Here is a 22862-nt window from a genome sequence, read left to right on the forward strand (position 1 = left end):
TGTCACTTTGTGTAACATTAATTTTCTAATGTGTTCTGGTCAATTTGTAAAAAGATTTTTTTTCTAGTGTCTCAGCTGTTGGTTTGACTTTTGTATTTTCATTGGTAAAATATGTATGTCTTTGCTGTGAGCAGAGAGAAACAGATTAATAAAAACCACTGAACCAGCATTGCATATGTAATTAATTAACACCACCAGGAAAGCTGGTTCATGGTTGTGTGTAAACTTATTTCCAAACATCTAAAAAACGTTTAGAGTTATCTTATTCAGTTGTCTCACTTCTAAGGGATAGGTTAGGAAGCTGTAACGTATGTGTATGCACAGAAACTGTTGGACAATGATTCTCAAACTTTACTTTTCATTAAAATCGTCTGGAGGGCTTATTAAAATGTAGATTGCTAGACCTCATCCATAGTTTCTGATTCAGTATGCCTGGGTGGGGCCTTAAAATTTGCATTTCTCATGTGGCCCCAGGCATTGCTGATGCTACTAGTCCAAGGACCTTACTCTGAGAATCAGTTTTAGGATGTAGATCTTATGTTCCTCTTTGCCAAGGGCAAATGAACTGAATTGTATAGGCTTCCTTTTCTTTTACAAGAAGCATTGCCTCTTCTAAGTAGACATCCACCAAATATTTATGTACTGTATCCATGGTGCCATGCACTGAGCTAGGTGCACTGGGGATAAATAAAATGATCTCTGCCTTGGGGAACTCACAGTTGAGAGAGGATTAAATTAAGAAACCCACCAATCGTGATTCAATATGAGAAGTGCTGTGGTGATGTCAGGGGTAGGCTTTCTAGATTTGCTATGAGGTGCAGTCTGAGCTTTTTCTCAGACTGTCTTAGCTTTATACCTACAGAAATAAGTGAAAGAAAATGAATCTTCTGCAGCTTAGGATTTTGTTAGTGCTCAGATCAGTTTCCTCTCGTCCTTGACTTTGGGCATCCCAAGCTCTGTATTCAGACACTCCTGAACTGGCATTGTGAGCTCTCCACCCCAGCTTTTGTGGAAGAGTCCTTCCTCCATTTTTAAATTACAATTTCAGACACTGTCCACTGTGGCAGCAGGATTTGTAACAAGACCAAGTTAAGTGATCTTGGCTGAACTGATTTATGAGACAGCTTCAAAAATTCATGAGGTACCATGGGAACTTTCTGTAGTGGATCAGCATGCCGCTTTTCCTTCACTTCTTCAAGTAGATCAGACATTTTGTGATAACACGGCAGTTTATAGTGGAGCCTTCTAGATTATGGCTCTGCTGATTAAGACACTAAGACAGACCTGAAGACAAAGAGAAGGGAGAACAGGATGTTACTTTTAGAAACTCCTGTTATCCTAAGCTTGAGCAGGGACTTTGGGTAAAATACATCTATGTATAACTCAATTTATACATAGAACTCTCTAGGGCAAGTTTTTCTCCAGTGGTGATCTGATATGGAGTGTCTTGGCCATTAATAATGGTCCCATAATTTTAAGCACAATAAAATGTTAGGTGTGTATATGCGAAAAATTGAGTGACATAGTAGTTGTCTCTCCTCTCTTTGTGAAAACCGGTAGACAGGAACGAAGGATGTGGCCAAAACCAGTGACAGGTTATGGTGCTTTCCCTATTTTATTGATTGCTCATTTCTAGTCTCTAACCTTATTTGCTACTTATTGATCTAGTAGAAAAGCAAATAATTTTCCCTAGATAGTATTTTGTTGAGCTGGGCTTTGATGACTTGTCTACCAAAGGGTTTTTAAAAAGTACTTACCTGCTGAGTGGCAGCCTGTCTACCATTTAATGTTATTATCTGTGAGCCTGGGGGTTCCTTCTTAGTAGGATCACTGATGTCATAGGCTGCCTCTTTATTCTGCCTACTTTCCTGCAAGATACCACACATGCCCGTGGTCTGCTTTAATGGCCTCACAGTGCACACAGCCTTAGACTTAACACAAGAAACATATGAGTGATCCCATTGGAGATAATGTGTTGCCGAGTCAATTTGGGTCAGCATCTGCCAACATGTCAAATTTTCACACTAGGTTGTATTTTGAGATTTTTATTCATGCTTTTGGGTTCAAATTTACTCACAAATAAGTTTTGAACTTTTAAGTGCTAAAACTGCTGAGTTCTTGACTATCTGCACTTGGGGAGGGGAAGGTTAAAGATAAGGGGTGGGTATGTATGGGAAGGAAACAGTAGCACAGATCATCTAACATAGGAGGTAAGATAGATTTCCCAATGTCATATATAACTTTGACTATATATTTTTTCCTATGTTTACATTCTCCTGTTTATGATTATACTCTTTTGGTTCATATTAAATTGGTGTTTATCTCCTAGGAATATATATGGCGAGGTGTGTCATAGGAAGCAATAGAAAAAGAATTTGGAGACTGGTCACTTATAATTCTTGAATAATATAACTATGTAGAGTTAAAAGCAAAGATTGATCCTGTCATTCATGGGATTGATGGGCATTTTTGCTGGTATCTTATTATTGTTCATTTCTGAGTAGGTAATATATTAATATGATCCCAAAAGCAAAATTGTATTAAGAAGTATATAGAGGAATGTCTCACTCTCATCCCTGGACCTATGTGCCCCATTCTTCAGGCTTTTATAACTACTTTATTAGTCTCTATTACATCTTTTGTAATTTCTTAAATAGTGTGTGTACTCTCCTATTTGTGTATGCTCTCGCTTTTTCTGCCCTTTGTTATACCATATTTAGCATACTATAAGCACTGTTCTGCATCTTGCTGTTTTGTAGTTACCAATATATCTTGGAGATCATTCCATCTCACTACAGAGAGAGCTTCCGTATTCCTTTTTATAGCTGCTTAATATTTCATTGTATAGCTGTACCATAATTTACTTAACCTGTCTGACACTTTGGTTATTTACAATCTTTTGCTCTTACAAGTGATGCTGCAGTGATAATGTTTTTTTTTTTTTTTTTTTTTTCCCGAGACAGAATCTCACTCTTGCCCAGGCTGGGGTGCAGTGGCACAATCTCGGCTCACTGCAACCTCTGCCTCTCAGGTTCAAGCAATTCTTCTGCCTCAGCCTCCTGAATAGCTGGAATTACAGGTGCCCGCCGCCACACCTGGCTAATTTTTGTATATTTAGTAAAGACGGGGTTTCGCCATGTTGTCCAGGCTTGTCTCAGACTCCTGACCTCAAGTGATCTGCCCGCCTCGGCCTCCCAAAGTGCTGGGATTACAGGCATACAGTGAATAATCTTGATCATATGGCATTTCATCCTGGGTGTGTGTTCAGTTGTAGGATAAATTCCCAGAAGTGAAATTGTTACAGTGAATGTGCATTTGTAATTTTGATAGTCACTGCTAAATCCCTCTGTAGAGGTCGTACTAATTTATATTCCCATCTGTTTAAGAGTAGAGATTTCCCCGCAGTCTTGTCAACAGGGTGGTGGTGTTAAACTTTTGAATTTTTGCCAATCTGATAGGAGAAAATTGGTATCTCAAAGTGGTTTCAATTTGCATTTCTTATTATGAGTAATGTTGAGCATTATTTACTATGTCCAAGATCTGATAGTATTTCCTTTTGTGTCATCAACAGTCTGGTTATATTTCTTTCCTGTTTTTTCTATTTGATTATTGCTATTTTTTTTTAATTTTTAAAATAAGCTATTTTGGAATACTTATAGACTTACCAAAAAGTTGCAAAGATTACGGGGATTTTTTTTTTCTTTTCTTATGCCCTCATTAGCTCGTTAATTGGGTTAGATGGTTTGAGGAAGGACAGGTCTCCTGGAATTCTGTGGCTTGTCATAGGTTTGTCAGCCCAAATAAGGATGCACATCCAATTCACGACTCCTGGCTGCCTCTGGGGATTTTCCATATGGAGTGACAGACTTGGGAAATTCTGCTGAGCTTCTGACTAGCCTCCATTATGAGGCATATAATTCAGAGCCCATCTTCCATTATTCTTCTTTTACTAGTATCAATTATTAACTAGAAAGGTTATTGAAGTGAAAACCTTGCCTCAAGTTTGTATTTCTTGAGATTTACTTCCAATAATAAATGTGGTTTTCAAGTGACTGAATCTTTCATAGACCAAGTTTCGAGCACATTAAATATTTGGTGGTTTTGCGTCCTCTCTGCCTCACATGCTAATTGAGAGGATGAGTAGCTATAATTTTTCTGGAGCTTCAGGCTGTCATTCTGTCCTGTTAATTGGTTCTTGGAGTAAGGAGCTAAAATGTGGAGGCAGAAATGCTTTCCCAGATAGAAACATGCCTTGAAGCTTTGTGTCCTGTAAGGGTCCACATAGCCTGGAAGTTAAGAATACTGGCTCTGGAATAAAACCTTGTGGATTCAGATTCCTGCTTTGCCACTGCTAGATGTATCACCTCGGACAAGTTACCTAACCTCTTTGTACCTCACTCTCTCCCTGTTTATAAAATAGGGATTAGAACAGTACCTGCCTCATCTAGTAGTTGTGAAGATTAAATGTGATGAGACATGTAAAGTGCTTGGTACAGGCCTAGAACATTGTAAGTGCTCAATAAATACTGGCCGAAAAGTCGTACAGGGCAGTGGTTTCAGAGGCCATGCAATAAAATAGTGGGTTATGTTGCATTTGACTTTTGTTGATTAACCTTTCTTCTTCCTCTATTCTTTACCTTGTGAGGCACTTAACCTACTAACTGAAATGCCATTCATTCAGCCAGTATTTGAGTGCTCAGCAAGTGCCAGACTCTAAACAAGATGATGTGTAAGATGCTGCAAGGAGCCCTCGTGCCTTGCAGCCTGAGCACAAGTGCCTATAAACGCAAGGCTGGTTGTCGTCATTGCCATCCCCAGTATACTTTGAGAATACAAAAGAATGTGAGGTCACTCTCCTTTGACTGGGGTGACGAGGACATGCATTGTGAAAGGGGGAACTGTTAGAACTGGGAGCCATTCGTAAGTGAAATAAGGATAAGAGGGATATTATCAGCATTGATGCTAATTAGCATTTCTGTAGCATTTTGCAGTTTGGGAAACATTTTATGTATTTTATTTTATCTCAGTCTCATAAAAGAGCTTGAGGTATTATTATCTCCAGTTTACGACTGAAGAGATGGGGAGTCAAATAGGTTATCTGATTCTCCCAATGCCATACAGCTCCTTGGTGGTGGAGTTGGGGTTTGAGTCCAGGTCTCCTGACTCTGAATCTCCACGTGCTTCCCTCTGGTCTCTTGAGTGAAATAACCCGTACTAGCAAGAAAGAGAAGAGTATGTCGGCAAAAGAGAAACCTGGAATAGTTGCCAATTGTCCCTAGGTTCAGATCACATACTTCTAGGGCATCAGAGCTAGAAGGAACATGAGATCAGTGCATCCTCTTTATTTGACTAATGAAAACATTGATGTGCTTGTGAGGGACTTCGAGAGGTCAATGTGGTGCTGGAAGCAGCTCAATGGAGAGGGTAGACAGTTCCCCTTGGATGCTCATGTGTGGTCTTCTGGGGATTGATTAGTTGCTGGTAAGGAAGGAGCTCATTTTGGGGAAAGTAGGTACATAGATTCATAGAGGGAAAACCTTTATTCAGAAGCAGGCAGTTTTTCTGCAATATCTTCCTGGGAAACACAAATAAAAGGGCTGTAGTTTAGTATTCAGATGTGGTTCTGGTTGTGCAAGGATAAGGAGAAAAGGCAGAGGCAGGGTGAGAAGGAAGGAAAATGAATGACTGATTTGAAAGGTCAGTGAGAAGTCTGTGAAAGGTACATACTTAGGGTCTGTAGGGCAGTCATTTGAAATCCAGGATACTTAGTATATATATAGGAGGACTTCGTAGTAGTTCTCTGACTGGAAGAGGACTGGGCTGCCTTGTGTGTGTGAGCTTTCATCATGGGGGCAGTGGTTACTACATGCTATTTCTAAGAATTGCACTTGTGGGGTGATTTCTACTTTGGGTAGGAGGTTATTCTAGGTAGAGCTAGTGTGGATCAGCAACATCAGCACCACCTGGGATCTTGTTAGAAATGCAGATTTGGGGACTCCTACCCTAGACTTACTGAATCAGAATCTCCAGTGGGTGCAGTTCAAGAATGTGTATTTTAACAAGATCTCCAAGTCATTGGTCTGCATGTTCAATGTTTGGAAGCATTGCTCTAGTGCAGAGGCTCTCCAAGATCCTCCTTTGGGTTCTCGGCTTATGTGATTAATGTGCCATTCACCAAACATTTATTGAATTTCACTTATGTAGGCACAGCACAAAGCCAACTCTCACATGGATCCTGCTTGCATTCTAGTTGAGGAGACAGGATTGTTTACAAGTAACTATTAGGTTGGTGCAAAATAATTGAAGTTTTTGCCATTACTTTCAATGGCAATTTCAGTGGCAAAAACCATGGTTACTTTTGTACCAACAGTATAAAAACAGTGTTAAAGGCTAGTACAGGAGGCACAGAGAATGCCTGTGAAAGTGGAGGGTGGACGTTTTCATAGGTGTGTGCGGGAGCAGGTGGCATGCATGGTAGGGGGAATCATTACTTCTGTGCAGGACTCCTGAGTAATTTTAATCTGTGGTTTGCTGCTGTGCAAACCCAGAGGCCTGTCTACAACTTGTTTAACCTCCCCCAGCCCTTGACTGGGTTTACTTTATTGGCCTGATAAGTAGTATAAAAATTGGCAGAGCTATTAAGATGACTCATGGAAGGATATCCTCAGCATCTCCTTTTGGATCTCCTCACACCTGCACTGCTTCTTCTTAAATGCCTGAATATCCACCACTTTGTAAAAGAAAAAAATTGATTTGTCACTGAATTTCCATGCCTCAGCCTGAGAGAAATGTAAATGTTGTACTGGCCTTTAGTACTCTGCCTTCAAGCCTAGATTTAGAGCTGATCATTATACTTTTAGAGTAGGCTAGGTATGAAAATAGCAGCAGGTTGAAGAGTCAGAGGAAGCTGTTTGCTCTCATCTGCTGGTTTGGTCAGGGTGGAAGTACGAATATTAATACAGTCCACTTAAACAATAAAATAGCTCCCAGGGAAGAGGAACTATAAACTTCAGTAAATATCAGAGATGTTAAATGCTAAAAATAAAAGCTCTCTGCAGTTGTTTGGCTCTTTAAAGAGATTGTTTATTGGTCAAGAGTGCTAGTCTGTTTGGTCATGTTTTGCTAGCTTTTTAAAATGCATGTATGTAAATGAATTAGAATATAAGTTAATTAAGCAGGGCAGTGTTTCTAGAATGTGAAAATAGTAACCTGGCTAGTTAATTTAATTAAGTCCTTGGTAATTTTCTTTTAGAAACAAGTTTCATCTTGGGAGGTCACAACGTCCTGGCTGCTGTGCTTCTGAGCTTTACCTTGACTCCATCCTCTCCTCTCTGTCATCCTTTTCTCTGGCTCTGTCACTTGCATTTGCCCCCTGACTTGTCACCCTGACTTCATTTCCTCTCTCCCAGCTGTTTACAGTGCTATCACAGTGGTCTTTCAGAAATCCCAAACTCTGCTGTTGAACTGGGTTCTAAAAACCTTCAGAGACTTCATGTTGTCCATAGGATACACTGTTTTCTGAACTCCTTAGTGTGCCATATTAGGCTCTCTACAGTCTGGCTCTAAAATACAATTTTTTTTTTTTTTGAGACGGAGTCTCACTCTGTCGCCCAGGCTGGAGTGCGGTGGTGCGATCTCTGCTCACTGCAAGCTCCGCCTCCCAAGTTCACACCATTCTCCTGCCTCAGCCTCCCGAGTAGCTGGGATTACAGGCGCCTGCCACCACGCCCGGCTAATTTTTTTGTATTTTTAGTAGAGACGGGATTTCATCGTGCTAACCAGGATGGTCTTGATCTTCTGACCTCGTGATCTGCCCATCTCGGCCTCCCAAAGTACAGGCATGAGCCACGGCACCCGGCCTCTAAAATACCATTATAGCCTAATTTTCAGGCTTACTTTTTCTTGTGGTCCAGGCCACAGGACTATCTGCTATTCTCAATACAAATAAAATATAACCAGTAGCCACCCTGCAGTAGTAGGGACAATTCAGGTGCCTCGACAAGCATTGTCTGATTACACTATTCAATACAGGATCAAAGAGTTTTGTCATTTGCCCAAGGTCATGTACCTTGTGTTAGAGCTGAGATTCATATTCAGTATTTTGATATTCTGACTCAGTTTCCTGCTTTCATGTCTCTGTGCTTTCCTTGTATGTTTTCTTTCTTTTTTTCTTTTTGAGGCAGGGTCTTGTTCTGTCACCCAGGCTAGAGTGCAGTGGCACAATCACAACTCACTGCAGCCTCAACCTCCCAGGCTCAAGTGATCCTCTCACCTCAGCCTCCCCAGTAGCTGGGACTACAGGTGCACACCACCATGCCCGGCTAATTTTTGTACTTTTTGTAGAGACGGGGTTTCACCGTGTTGCCCATGCTAGTCTCAAACTCGTCAGCTCAAGCTCTCTGCCTGCCTCGGCCTCCCACAGTGTTGGGATTACAGGCGTGAGCCATTGTGCCTGGCCTCCTTATGTCTTCTATGCCTAGACTGTCTCCTACCCTTTTTCTTTGCAGACTTGGAAATGTATAGGTGTTAGGTATTCCTAACAATGTGCGTGCATAGGTCATCGGGCCTATCTCAATTTAGCCTGATAGTGTAAATACTAGTACTACTACTACCTAGTGCTAGTACTAAGAGCTGATCCCAGATCTTAATTTTTCTTCATTTCTCCTCCAAATAATAGGCGGTTTATAAGTATTATGGAATGAATGCATGGATGGATGAAAGGATGACTGGATAGATGGATGGTCAGTCCCAGTGGTTGGGTCCGTTTGTGATTTGACCAAGTTCAAGGCTGTAGAATTGCTATGTGGAAAGAATGCATATTATTTCAGCTATATCAAATAGCACCTAGGGACGGCCTGACTGACAGGGAACAAATTGTCAGCCCTCATTTGGATCCAAGTGGAAATTAATCTGAAGAATTTGGAATGGGCCTATTCGTGGGAAATTGCTTATTTTTATAAGAGTTTATTTTCTGATTTGTGGCTATATTCGTTGGCTAGGGCCACTGTAACAAAGACCAGGTGACTTAAACAATAGAAATGTATTTTCTCTCAGCTCTGGAGGCTAGAAGGCTGAGATCAAGGTGTTGAGAGGTTTGGTTTCTTCTGAGGCCAATCTCTTTGTCTTGCAGATGGCTACCTTGCTGTGTCCTTACATGGTCTTCCCTCTAGGTGCACATATCCGTGTTCAGATTTCCTCTTCCTTTAAAGACAGCCGCCATACTGGATTAGAGCCCACCATAAAGACCTCATTTTAATTAATTACCTCTTTAAAGACCTTCTCTCCAAATACGGTTTCATTCTGAGGTACTGGGGGTTAGGACTTCAACCTACAAATTTTGAGGATACCTCATTCACCTCTACCCAACCCATCCCCTCTGCCTTTTCCTCTTGTTGTCTTTCTTCTGGCAGTTTTGTTTCACTCAAGGGCAGTCAGGAAGAGAAGTAAAGATAGAGGAAAAGGAAATTTATTTTGGGTGCAGTTCAGGAGGTGTAGCTGGGGTTGGGGATGGGCAGTGGCTGAAGCTATTGGTGGAAATGAGATTTTGATATTGCCTATAGATTAGTATTGTCCTGGAACATTCTGTGCTGGTTTCCTGGACAGCCGATAGCTGGCTGTGTGTGTTGGAGGGCCCAGGGAATATCTGTTCTGTTAGTAAGTGAGGGGGAAATTGATAATCCTGCAGCCGGCCTGGAGAAGTAAGGACTCTATCTTTGTCTGTCAGCTCTTCCTCCCAGAAGTAGCTCAGAGACTTGCTGAGCACACCTAGGGTAGAGGCCAGGATAGTTGAGTTTTGGACGCTCTGCCTTGGCTAACACCTTGCCTGGCATCTAGCAGATGCTTATGAAATGTTTGTCAAATTGAATTACTTAATTTACTTGACTCAAATATTTTGTTCTTCTCCAAACCTTTTATGAGGAGTTTTTTCTCCACCTTTGTTTGTTAATTCCCAAACTTCTCTCCAGTTCTCAGTTGTGGCTTATGTCTTTTCTTTCCTTTCTCTTTGTAATTATCAGGTAATTTATTAAATGGAGACAAGCTTAACTAGACATTAAATAATTGCAGGTGTGCAGCTGAACTGAGCCGCTGTCCTTTAACTAGGAAATCACAGCTGCTTGTGTTGTATTGTGTGATGAGATTACACTTCACCTCATTTGGTTACACGATATCTTGCTTATTGTAAGGTAAAAGAATGTTGAAGCTTCTGCTCTAAGCAGTACACAAAGGCTGGTATGTTCCCAGGAAACCAACGTAAAAAGTACTTGGAGGTCAGGTCTGGAGCCTTTGCAACCTCTGATGCTTCTCTTTTCTTGGAATTTTTCATTTCCTTTGCCTTTTTCTGTATAGAGAACACCTGAATTACTCCTTAACTTGAGACCTGTTTCACATTTTAAAATTTTCTTTTGGTCACCTTAACTGTAAAAGCAAGATTTTTCTGTTTCCTTCTAAGAGATTAGCAGTGGGTCCATTGGTTAGCTCTTTTTTTGCTTTCATTATCAGACCTCATCTGCATACTTTTTATACAAATTTGCCCCATTGGTAAGAATTGTAGCTTTTATGAATGTTAATTTTAGTCATAGGTTAAATTGTGATGTCACCAGTCTGTTTTCTTTGGCTAGTTTCATAGTTTGTGACTATTGCTAGAGGTAGACACTAGTTATATAGCAAGTACCTAGCTTATTACAGAACTCAGAGTATGCTGCTAATAAAGGATTGCTTGATTGCTTGAAGGGTATGCAGGTGTAAGAAATATTCATCTTTCAATTGGTGTCAAAATTTTTATTTAAAAAAAAAGTCATGCTGCCACTTCCCAGCTTTGTAACTTTGGGCATGCCACTGAAATATCTTAATCATTAGATTTATCATCTAGGTAGTTGTGAGGGTTAAAGAAATTCAACAAATATTTGAATGAACTATCTTTTGTGCCTTTCTGGATGCTAGGGATATATTTGTGAACAAAGCAGAATAAATTCCTATCCTTGCGGGATTAACATATATGAATCTGGTTTTGACTGTCAACTGGATGGAGTCCAATTGGTGGGAGAACATGATACCTACCATTTATGAAAAACTCTTTAAACTGAAATATGTGCCTAATAACACTAACTTTCTTTATTAGGGACATTTTAACCCCATTTGGGCTTTGCAGAGTAGGTCTTAGAGAAAGCCCTTCTCCATACTTGTTCGTTCAGTCGTGTATCATGTACAGCCATCCATTTTATGGTTTTGGCTGTTGTAAATAAAATGGCTAGAGCCTGTGCATCTGGAGTTGTGGTGACTCTTAGTCTTGGGATGCGTGCCTCTTCCTCTCGGTCGTTGCTTTATAGGCTGTCTCTGAGGTTCCAGAAGGGGCTCAGAGAATGAGCTCCAACTGACATGTTTGAGCCTTTGAGTCTCTTCATGAAAGCTCAGTTTGTTCAAGTAAAATCTGAATGGCTCAGAGAGGACACTGTGGTGTTTAGCTTACCAAGCCCAGTGTGATATCACTGGTTTGTTAATATCTACAGAAACACACACAGGAAAAATATTCTAGAGCATCATATTGCTCACCTCCTCTAAATTCTTTTTTCATGGATGATCGAAAGAAAAACCTTTTTGAGTCTCTCTCTTCTTTTTTGTGAATGACTAATAGAAAGAAGACGACACTGGTAACTTTCAGAAGCATTGTGATAGCATTCTGATGGTGGGATTATGATGTTCAGACATGGGAGGGTATTAGCAACCAAACATCATTTCCTTTAGGGGACTGGAGGTAGTGGTCATCTGTGAGTCTAGAGCTGTCTTCGAGGGAAGTGAGCAGTGGCTCTTCCAAGGACACAGAGATGTCAGGCACCTCTCTCATGCATGCAAGTGCTACATATTATGTCCACAGTATCTGGAGTATTTAAACCAGGAATAACACGTAGTCTTTATTATTGGAAGAAATAAATTAGGTCAGAGTTAGTATGCCATCGTGTGATGCCAGTTTGTATTCTTTATTTTCTGTACTTGCTTCTAGAGAGGGAGTAAATACTATGAGATAATGAAGAAAGACATGTTTTTGTGACTTTTCTGATTTAGGACACTTTATGTTGTGGAGGTTTTTTGAAGGATTTGGAATTTGGTTGCTTATTGAGAACCTCTTGAGAAAATCAGATTATCTCTGATACACAACCAGTCCTACATTGAGTTTTTTCCATTTATTGCTGTAGAGACATGAACATTTATTTTTATTGAAGCTGAGAGAGGGGTGTTACATGGTTGTTTATCAGCTCTGCCAAAAGTAGCTCAGACATCCCTGATGACTCAGCTGATGCCCTTGCTGCCTGATTGGGTGCTTGTGTACTAAGTACTTGTTTCCTTGTTGAGGGCTAGGAATATGTCACAAAGCCCCATTGCTGTGGGGATTGTTGCAGTGAGCAGACTTAGCGGAACTGCACAAGGCTGGCTAGAGGCCAGGTTTAGACTACCTTGGAAGAATTGGCTTAAGGGCAGAGGAGAGGTTTAGAAAACTCCTTTCTTCCTCTTTGGTGGCATTAATCTTTGCGAAACCAGGCTCAGACTCCTTTTGCACCTTTCCCAGGAATGGGGTAGCATAGATCTTCTTCCTATGTGAATCACAGAAAGGGACTTTGTGTGGGTGCTGTGTGTTCATTGTAAACCACTGGTGCTGCTATCTAGGTGGAGTTAAAGTTGATACCAGCAGAGTAAGTTAGCCTGAGCAGGAGGATGGAGTTCTGCAGTACAGCCGGAAATTTTCACTTCATAGTGTTTCTACTGTAACTTCTCACCCTGTGTTGAAAAAGGCACACCTGGCCATTCGCATAGTTTGGATACGTTTTAACCCATAAGAGTGCTGTCCTTAAAGATGATGAAAAGAGACATTTTAGCTCCTTGGAAATAAGCACATTTCTGAAACCACCCGTCTGAGTGCACACTTGTGCAGATAAACAGGTACTTTTGTTTATGCTCTGACTCAAGTGGAAAGGGCAAAATAAGAGATTTTCCTTCTCCTGAGTCTTTTCACTGTGAGGATTTTGTCCTTTAAATAAAATAAACCGGAACTGTAACCTTTATTATGGGAGGAGTGTGGAGGAGTTAGGAATGAGGCAAAATGCCCTCCCTGTTTCTCAGATAACTCTTGCTACCGTCTGAGCAGTGTTTATTTAACAGATTTAATGCATTGCCTCAATAGCATCACACGAAACATGTCACCCCCCCTTTTTAGTTTCTTCCCTTCAAAAATTTTCTTAAAAATGCCAGAACCTTACCAAGTCACTTAAATAAATCAGTCCAAGTATGAAATGATCTCTGAAGTGACTTAACACAAATGATTCTGACTTTACTACTTGGGAGACTCTTTTTTGATGGCCAGCCCTCTAAATTGTAGGAAGATCATTTTCTAGCTCCCTATTGTCAAAAAACAAAGCAAAATCAAATTAAATAAGTCCCTTAATTCCCATAAGTAATTTTAAAATTATCTCTTGTATATACTTTACTTGTGTGCAGCTTGCAACTGAATATCATTGTGAGAGCTATAGTTTGTCAGGGTTTAGATCTTAATTAGCTCATGAGATTGCATCCTTTTGAAGCTGTATACCACAGGTTGTTGGCTAGTTTTCCAAAAGCAATTAAAATGCCCACTGTTATAATTAAGCCTGTTACTAGTTGTATGTTCTAGTTATAAAATATATTTGGCAATTAAGGAAACTGAGATTGAGGCTTTTGGCTTGGCTCTTTGAGATGCAGTAGACTGGCTTCCACCTTGATCTGTTAGGATGACTGGTGCGGATGCCTGGATGATGGGACATGTCTTAGTCCTTGAGTACCTATCTTTATGAGTAAGAGCAACCACAGGTTTTTACAAGAAAGCTAAAGTTAGAGAATGTGACTCGTGTCCTCACATATGCCGATTATGTCCTACTTGGTATACAGGAGTCAAAACCTAAACTTCTAAGTTGCAGTCTCTTAGCTGAGAAGTCCTTTTTAAAGAAGCATTCCCTTATCTTTAAGAAGATGGCTCGACTCTGACTGTGAACATTTAATCTGTTAAACTAACACCTCCATTGCGCTGTTTAAATTTCTGTCTGGTTGTTGAAAAGAAGGTGTGGGAGAAATGTTGCAGGTACATGTGGTTAATGTCTGTTTCTGAACTGTATTTCATTTAGGAGTTGTTAAGCTGTGTGCCCACCATCTCAGAGACAGATTTGTCTGAACTGGCCTGTGGAGGAAGATCTCATTGTCAGGGCTGGTCTCAATGGCAGATACAGTTCTCAGTGGTGTGCTTTGCGTGTCGTGTCTTTTATTCTTCCTTTCCTCCTGCTCACCCTTAGGAATGTTTCCTTTTTGTGCCTTAACACCAGAACGGTATGGTGGCTGAGACCATGGGACAAATGCGTCACTTAGTGGGCAGATAGAAATCAGTATTTAAAGTATGATTGAGGTTTTTGTGTTTATTTTGAAATTCATTTAGTACACAGGGAAGAAAACAGCACTTGGCTTATGTGGTTCTATCCCATTGCTTTGCCTGTTTGTGCCCCCGTGCAATTAACATGAAAATGATAGTTTAAGAATGAGCTCATTAACATTTAGAACTGGGTAGGAACAGGGCTTCATAGGATGTTAAAATCAGAGAAAAAGAGAAAAGAGCAGGTGCTTTGTAAATACTATGTGGTTTTGAGAAATAGTAGAAAGTTGGGTCTTATTTTAAATTTCCTTTTTTCCAGAGTCCCTTTAAAGTTGTGATTAATGATATACATTATTTTCTTTATTGGGCAAAATATTAGAATTATTAGAGATACATTTTTCTTGGGAAAACCACTGTGGTTCTCTGGACATTTCTATGTTAACTGTGTCATATATTAGTATAGAATAAATTCACAGGCTTGTGGGTCTGAGGACATTTGCTTGTTTCCTTTAAATCAATTTATACAAGCACTTCCTATGCTTCCTTCCTAACAAATTTTCCATAATTTATTTCTGGCCTCGTAAAAATAGAGGGAAAATAACCAATCAAATTATTAGCTCGATTCCTTACATGAGTTCTTCAATTTTTCCTAGGTACCAAACAAAATAAAACCAGTCTTTGTAACAAAGATTATTGGTTCTGAGGAAATGACTATCCACAAAGTGTACATTTGTGTGTAATATGTGGTATGCATTATGTGTGGTATTTTACAGTTAAAATACAACATAATTACCATAAAATAATGTATATGAAATGAGTTGTAACAATAAGATAAGATTGACTTTTAAAAATAAACAACCAAGAATAAACACAGCAGAATTCCTAATCAGCCTTACTCATAGGTCAAATTTAGCTTTGATGTCCTTTCCTCCATAAGCCATATTTAGGCATCAATTCAGTATAATACTCCTTCTTTGTGCTCCCATATCGCACTTCATCCTTCCCTCATCATGGCACTTACTGTGCTGTGTTGCTTGTTTGGCTAATTCCTTCATTTGGCTATAAACTATTAGGATATGAGCAGACATGGTGCCTTTTTCACTTTGTCCTCTGAATTCTTTTTTTAAAAATTGAAGTAAAATTGACATGTAATAAACCTTGGATATTTAGTATACAATGTGTTAAGTTTTAGCTTAGTGTTGTCCATGAAACCATCTCACAGTGAGGATCATGAACACATTTCCCAAAGTTTCTTCACGCTCCTTTGGAATACTTACTTCTACTTCTCTTCTTTCCTTGTCTTGAGACAACCATTGACCTGGTTTCTATCATTGTAGATTAATTGACACTTCCAACAATTACGTGTAAATGAATCTCATATAGTATGTACTGTTTTCTTTTCCTTGGCTTCTTTCACTTAGCATAATTAAGATTCATCTATGTTGTAGTGTATATTGATAATTTCCTTTTTATTGCTGAGTAGTATTCCATTGTATGGATACACCAAAGTTTGTTTATCTATTTTTAAATTGCTGAGCATTTGAGTAATACCAGCTTTTTGCAGTTATAAATAAAGCTGCTATGAATACTAGAATACAAGTCTTCGTATGGGTATCTACTTTTGTTTCTCTTGGGTGATTATGTAGGGTGGAATGGCTGGGTAAATGGGCAGGTGTATGTTTAACTTTACATGAAACTGCCACAGTTTTCTCAAGTGTTAGTACCATTTTACATTCCCACTAGCAGTGTATGACAGTTCTAGTTCCTTCACATTTGTGCCAACACTTGATATAGTTGATATTGGTAAGATTTTAGCCATTCTAATAGGCATGTAGTAAAATCTCGTTGTGGTTTACATTTTCCTTTCCCTACTGACTAGATGTTGAGCATCTTTTCATGCTTTTGCTGTCCATATATCTTCTTTTGAAAACCATCTGTTCAAATCTTTTGCCCATGAAAAAAACCTTAGTTGTTTGTTTTCTTATTGAGTTTCAAGAGCTTTTGTTTGTTTTTATTGACACATGATTATATGTATTTACAGGGGACAGTGTGATGTTTCAATATATGTGTACATTATGTAAAAATTAAATCAGGGTATTTAGCATATCTACCACCTCATACATTTATCGTTTCTTTGTGACAACATTGAAAATTCTCTGATTTTGAATACTACAATATACAACCCATCTTTGGTATCAAATTTTGAAATATACAATCCAATATCATTAACTATAGTTACCCTATAGTGCAAGAGAACACCAGAAATTATTCCTCCTATCTGTAATCTTGTACCTGTTGACCAATCTCTCTTATGTTCCCCTGCTTTCCCTTCCCAGCCTCAGTAACTACTATTCTGCTTTCAAGAGTTTTTTTTTTTTTTTTTGAGAGGGAGTGTCGCTCTTCTTGCCCAGGCTGGAGTGCAGTGGTGCAATCTCAGTTCACTGAAATCTCTGCCTCCCAGGTTAAAGAGATCCTCCTGTCTCAGCCTCCTGACTAGCTGGGATTACAGGTATGTGCCACCATGCCTGGCTCATTATTGTATTTTTAGTAGAGATGGGGTTTCATCACGTTGTGTAAGCTGGTCTCGAACTCCTGACCTCAGGTGATCCACATGCCTCGCCCTCCGAAAGTGCTGGGATTACAAGTGTGAACCACTGTGCCCGGCCTTAAGAGTTCTTTACGTGTTCTTAATTGAGGTGTTTTATTAAATGTATGATTTGCAGATAATATTCTTCCAGCCTGTGGTTTGTATTTTCATTGACTTAACGGTGTCTTTTGAATAATAGAGGTTTTAAATTTTGATGAAGTCCCAATACCAGTTTGTTCTTTTATGGAGTATGCTTTTGGTCTCATAACTAAGAAATCTTTGCCAATTTAGGGTTACAAAGTTTCTTCTAGAAGTTTTGTCATGTTAAGTTTTACATTTAGGTCTATGATTCATTTTGAATTAATTTTTGTATATGGATTGAATTTTTTTTTTTTGAGATGGGGTTTTGCTCTGTTACCAAGTCTGGAGTGTGCAGTGGTATGATCACAGCTCACTGCAGCCTTGACCTCCTGGGTTCAAGTGATCCTCCCACATCATCCCCTCAAGCTGTAGCTGGGACTACAGGCATGCACCAACACACCCAGCTAATTGTGCATGTGTGTGTATATGTGTGTGTGTGTGTGTGTGTGTGTGTGTGTGTGTGTGTGTAGAGACCAAGTCTCCCTATGTTGCCTGGGCTGGTCTCAAACTCCTAGGCTCAATCGATCCTCCTGCCTCAGCCTCCCGAAGTATTGAGATTACAGGTATGAGCCACTACACCCAGTGTAAATTTTTTTTCCATATAGGTATCTAATTATGTCAGCATCATTTGTTGAAAAGACTGTCCTTTTCCATTGAATTGCCTTTCTGCCTTTGTCAAAAATTAGTTGTCTATATATGTGTGATCTATGTAAAAATTCCTTATTCTGTTCCATTGGTCAGTGTGTCTGTCCCTTCCCAAATACCCCACAGTTTTGATTACTGAAGCTTTATATTAAATCCTAAAATTGAACAGTGTGAGACTTTCAACTTTGCTGTTTTTCATCCTTCTTTTAACTCTTCTACTGGTTCCTTTACCTTTCCATAGAAATTTTAGAATCAGCTTTTCTGTATCCACAAAAATGTCCTTCTGGGATCCTGATTGAAATTAAATTAAATTTGTATACCAGTTTGGGGAGAATTGTTTATTGTGTTGAGTCTTCTAATTCACAGTCATTCTCCATTTATTTTGGTCTTTCTGTAAATTTTTTAGCAGTATTCTTGTAGTCAGTATTCAGCATACTTTATATATATATATATTATGTTTACTCTTTTTATGTAACTTTAATTCAAAAGGTACAGAGACTCTCCCTTAGTGCTGTTCTTAAGACATGTTTATATGACATCTTTCCATTAGTATCTTTGGTCGTGTTCCTGCAGTATCCTCAGTTGTGCTCACCACTGCTTAACTCACCTTTGCAGCCAAGTTTCATTTTGAGTCAAATCTACCAGAGGAGGTCATTTACCACCTGAGAAATCCCTCACTTAGTTTTAACAGAAATAAATAACTTTAAAACAATTGATACAGCTCCTTCTTTGGCTTGTATAATTTTCTTCAGGCATAAGTAAAAAAAAAAAAAAAAAAAGGAAAAAGTGATTTCAAACATGTTCAGAGTAACTGTAATCCAGCTGTGGTTGAAAGAAGAATTTTGAGTGGTTAAAGAGCTGACTGACCATGTTGGTGGCTCTTGAAACACTATCAGCTTTTCTTAACCAGAAGGCAATCAAGGACATACTTGAGGTCGGGAACAGATATTTCATAGGCCACTGGAGTGCTGCAGTGGAAGGATTCCCTCCAGATCCTTGGTTCACAGACAGGGAAGGTGAAGCCTGAGGAGACTTGGTTACTTGGTTTCCTTGGAGGATCATATGCTCAGTGAGCTCTTCCTGAAAACCAGCCCTGTTCCCATCAGAAACTGCAGAGACATAGTACTTCCCATTCAGCAGGTTACATGGAGTCAGCGTAGGCAGTCAAAATGGAGAGATGAAGGATTGGTGTTGGGTAATGAGAGCAAGGGATGGTCATAGAACTCAGAGATGATAATGTGACCAACAGGATCATTATTCAAATTTCCCAAGAGGCACAAATGTAGATGATGATTGCTTTCATAAGCTAGTGGAGTTAATTTCTGTCAGACACTATTCTAAGTGATTTTGTATATGAACTCATTTAATTTTCTCAACAACCTTGTAAGGTATAGGTACCGTAATTATTTCATTTTGTGAATGAGCAGAAATTAAGCACAGAGGTGCCAGAGATCTTTTCTCATAGGTGATGAAGGTAGGAGAGGAACCCAGGCAGTCTGGCTATAGAGCACAGAGTCTTAACCACTACACTGTCTGGCTGATGGCAAAGAGCATGTCTATTAAGAAAGCCTATGGGGAAATGGTCGCCAAATCCTTCTCTAATTCTTGGGGACCCTGAGTTTCAGGGTTTTTTTTGGTTTTAGAAATAAGGGAAACTCCTGTCAAATGATAAGATTGACATTTTTCATTTTTGAAGTTCTAAATGTAAAGCTCTTTGAAATGTATAGGTTTTCAGATACTCTGTGTGTCTGTGTGTGTGTGTTTGTGTGTGTGTGTCTGTGTGTGTGTGTGTGTATAAGTTCAGCTCCTTTAAAAGCCCCATCTCTGTCACAATCACATTTTTTTTTCACACCGCATTCCACCCTACTAATACTCAGAGCTTAGATTAGGGAGGTGACTAGGATACTGTTAATTAAAACTATATGACCTGATTAGACAAATTAAGAGAAATTTTCGATAGGGAAAAGAAGCAGGACAAGGACTGAACTTCTGAGAGATAGTGAAAAATCAAGGTGTTTTTCTTATTCTCAGTCACTTCACATTTTACTTCTGACACTAGATGTGTGGTGGATTTTCCCCACACACCAAGCAGTTCTCCAGAAGACATCAATTAATTAGCTGAACTTATTCAATTTAATTTTGACCCTATATACCAGGCATTCTGATACTGTCTACCTGGAGATAGTATCAGATCTCACAATCTCAGGGCTCAGTCCCACACAACTGCCCCCGACTTCAGACACCAATTGCAAGTTCCAGGTGATGTGTACTTCTGACCAACCAGCTATTAATCGGGGTTCTCATGACCCCCTCCTCAGGTTTGATTAATTTGCTGGAGTGACTCAGAGAACCCGGGGGGGAAAAATTTGCTTATGTTTGCCCACTTATTATTAAGAATATTACAAAGGATACAGATATGAACAGCCAAATGGAAGAGATGCGTAGGGCAAGATAGGAGAGAAGGGGAGTGAGTGGACTTCTATGCCTTCCGTGGACTTGTCACCCTTCTGGAAACTGCACGTGTTTAGCTCTTGCGAAGCTCATTTAAACCCTGTCCTTTTGGGTTTTTATGGAAAATTTATTACATAGGCAGGATCGATTACATCCTTAGCCATTAGTGACTGATTCAACTTTTAGCCTCCTCTCTTATTTGTTTTAAACGTTTGTTTCCAAAGTTTTTTTCTCCCCTTTGAGGAGGACAGATTCAGGCTTACATCAAAATGGAATTAAATGTGCCTTTGATTTGGAATGGGGCAACAAGAGCCGCCTGCATGGCTGTGTATATTTATTTATATGGGGTCAGGTAAAAGCACTTTTAAAATAAGCAAGTATTAGAGATCAGAGGTTATGGAGCAGCTGCTGGCTCTGGCTGACAAAGCATTCCTGGTGGCATTTGCCACTAGCTCTCTGGGTGTGGGCATTAGAGAGTGTGAGAGTTGGCCTGATGGCCTTTGTGTTTGTGGCCCTGTGTGGAAACTTTATAGCATTTCAGCCGTTCTAATCTGTGCAGGCACAGAGCCACAGCTGACCATAACTCTTAGGGGAAATGAGGACAGAAAAGTTGAACAGCACTGTGTGCTGTGTAGAGTATGGAGACCAGAATGAAGGGTGCAGAATGAAAGGAAAAAAAATTTTTTTTGAAGTATCCTGCTTCAGGGTTTCTATTGTTTGGGAAACTATTCCTATAGAAATGACATTTGTGCTTTGTGAAGGGGGTGGAGGTAGATTTTCTGGAGTGTAATTTTCTGGAGTGTTTCCTTATTGAAGGGGGAAAACAAATGATTGGAAAGGCTCTTCCTCTGTTTCTCTCATGCATCCCTACACCCCCAATATATGCAGTGTCCTTGTTTTTGTTAAATACAGAAGCTATACAGAGGGCAGTTAGAGTTCATCCACCGTTTTACTCATTGGATGGGATTATTAAGAGATAAGACCATTTATTGCTTAGCATGAGAATCTTACTGTCCCGGCCAGCAAAGGAGGCCAAAGATTTCATCTGAACTTTACCTCTTCAATTCAAGCCACCAAAGATTTATTGGGAGTCTACTATGTACCAGGCATAACATATGGCATATAAAGGCTAATTTTAACAATTATATTGCCGTTTATGTTGTTGGTTTGGATAGAAACCCTGTCTTCCACTAATCCTTACTTTTCCTATAATACAAAGATTATCATTGATGAAACATATTACAGATTATTATTTTAAGCTATTTAGCAAATATTAGACATTTTCTTAGAGAATGTTTGAGCATATCAGAAATTGTGGTGGATATGTTAGTTTCCTATTTGCTGCAATAATAAATTACCACAAACATAGTGACTTAAAAACAACACAAACTTTTATCTTACATTTTTGTAGGCTAGAAGTCCAACATGGATCTCATTGGGCTAAAATCGAGGTGTCAGGGGGCTGTGTTCCTCGTGGAGGCTCTGGGACAAATTCTATGACCTCATCTTTTTCCAGCATCTAGAGGCTTCCCTGAACTCCTAGGTGTATGGCTCTTCCCTTCATCTTCAAAGCCAGCAACAGCAGATTGAGCCCTTCTTAAAATGCCATCTCTTTGTTTCTCTTTTCCATAGTTACATCTTCCTCTTCCACTTTTAAGAACCCTTGATTACATTGGGCCCACCCTGACAATCCAGGATAATCCCCTTATTTTAAGATCTGCTGGTTAGCATCCTTAATTCCATCTCCAACCTTAATTCCCCTTTGCTATGTGTAGTAACATATTCACAGGTTCCAGGAATTAAATGGACATGGACATCTTTGGGGAGCCATTATTTCTACCTGTTACAGTAGGGTGGACTTTCCCCAAACTTTGCTCTTTCCCCACTCAAATGAAATTGTATAGTGCCCTCTATTAATTCTTTGCAAAATAAATTGTTACCTATGAATGTGTCTTGTGCGAGTGGTGGGTGGTTTATCACTGCTTAAAGCCTCACTCTTCTTCATTGTGACAAAACCCCAGCCACTTAGTTTTGTACAATCCCAGTGTTCAAGGAAGCTAGAGATCCTCTTAGCCAGCCCGCCCGCAGGGGTTTTGCACACACATTGTTACATCTCTTCAAAATGGCTGTCCCACCTTTGCTTACATGAAATGGCCTGCCTTGGCAAATAAACCTCTTTGAACAGTTCTGTTTTTGTTAGATAGTTCCTGCTTTAATTTAGGGGAAAATATTTCTCTTTGTGGGTTTGTAGAACCTATTGGTTCTTGTTTTACTCTCTGGGGTCATATTGAATAAATCTAATTTCTTCTTTCACACTTGAAGCCCTTGAGATTTTTTTTAAAGACAGTTCTCATATCCCCCAAGTATCAGACTTAAAAATCTCAATTTCTTCAACTGGGTCTCACATAAAACTGTCTTGAGACTTCTCTCCATCCTGTTCCTTCTCCTGAGTATGATACAACATGAAGAAGGGGAGGCTGAAGGAAGATTTAATAGGAGGCTTTAAATGCTGGGGGGAATTGTCATACAGAAAAAGCTGGTAAGGTCTTTACATTTACCATGGAAACAAGAAATCACAGGCTCATATTGTGGCTAAGGAGATTTAATTAGCAGGAAACCTGTCTTAACCTTATGGATTTGGTGTCAGGAAAC

The 22862-nt window shown here is 39.6% G+C and overlaps 1 protein-coding gene across 17 annotated transcripts in view, besides 1 other annotated feature; it reads left to right on the forward strand.

The window, feature by feature from the left end:
* The window catches only part of AUTS2 (activator of transcription and developmental regulator AUTS2), a 1195032-nt gene that overhangs the window by 98234 nt on the left and 1073936 nt on the right, over nucleotides 1–22862 (forward strand). The window lies entirely within an intron of this gene.
* Nucleotides 495–544: an enhancer, noted in NCBI's record as "active region_26100". NCBI's record gives its function as "activates an Ori minimal core promoter by ATAC-STARR-seq in GM12878 lymphoblastoid cells {active_cell/tissue: GM12878}" and the evidence as "EXISTENCE:reporter gene assay evidence [ECO:0000049][PMID:35858748]".

This window comes from Homo sapiens, chromosome 7 (genome assembly GCF_000001405.40).
Source record: "Homo sapiens chromosome 7, GRCh38.p14 Primary Assembly".
NCBI lineage: Eukaryota > Metazoa > Chordata > Mammalia > Primates > Hominidae > Homo > Homo sapiens.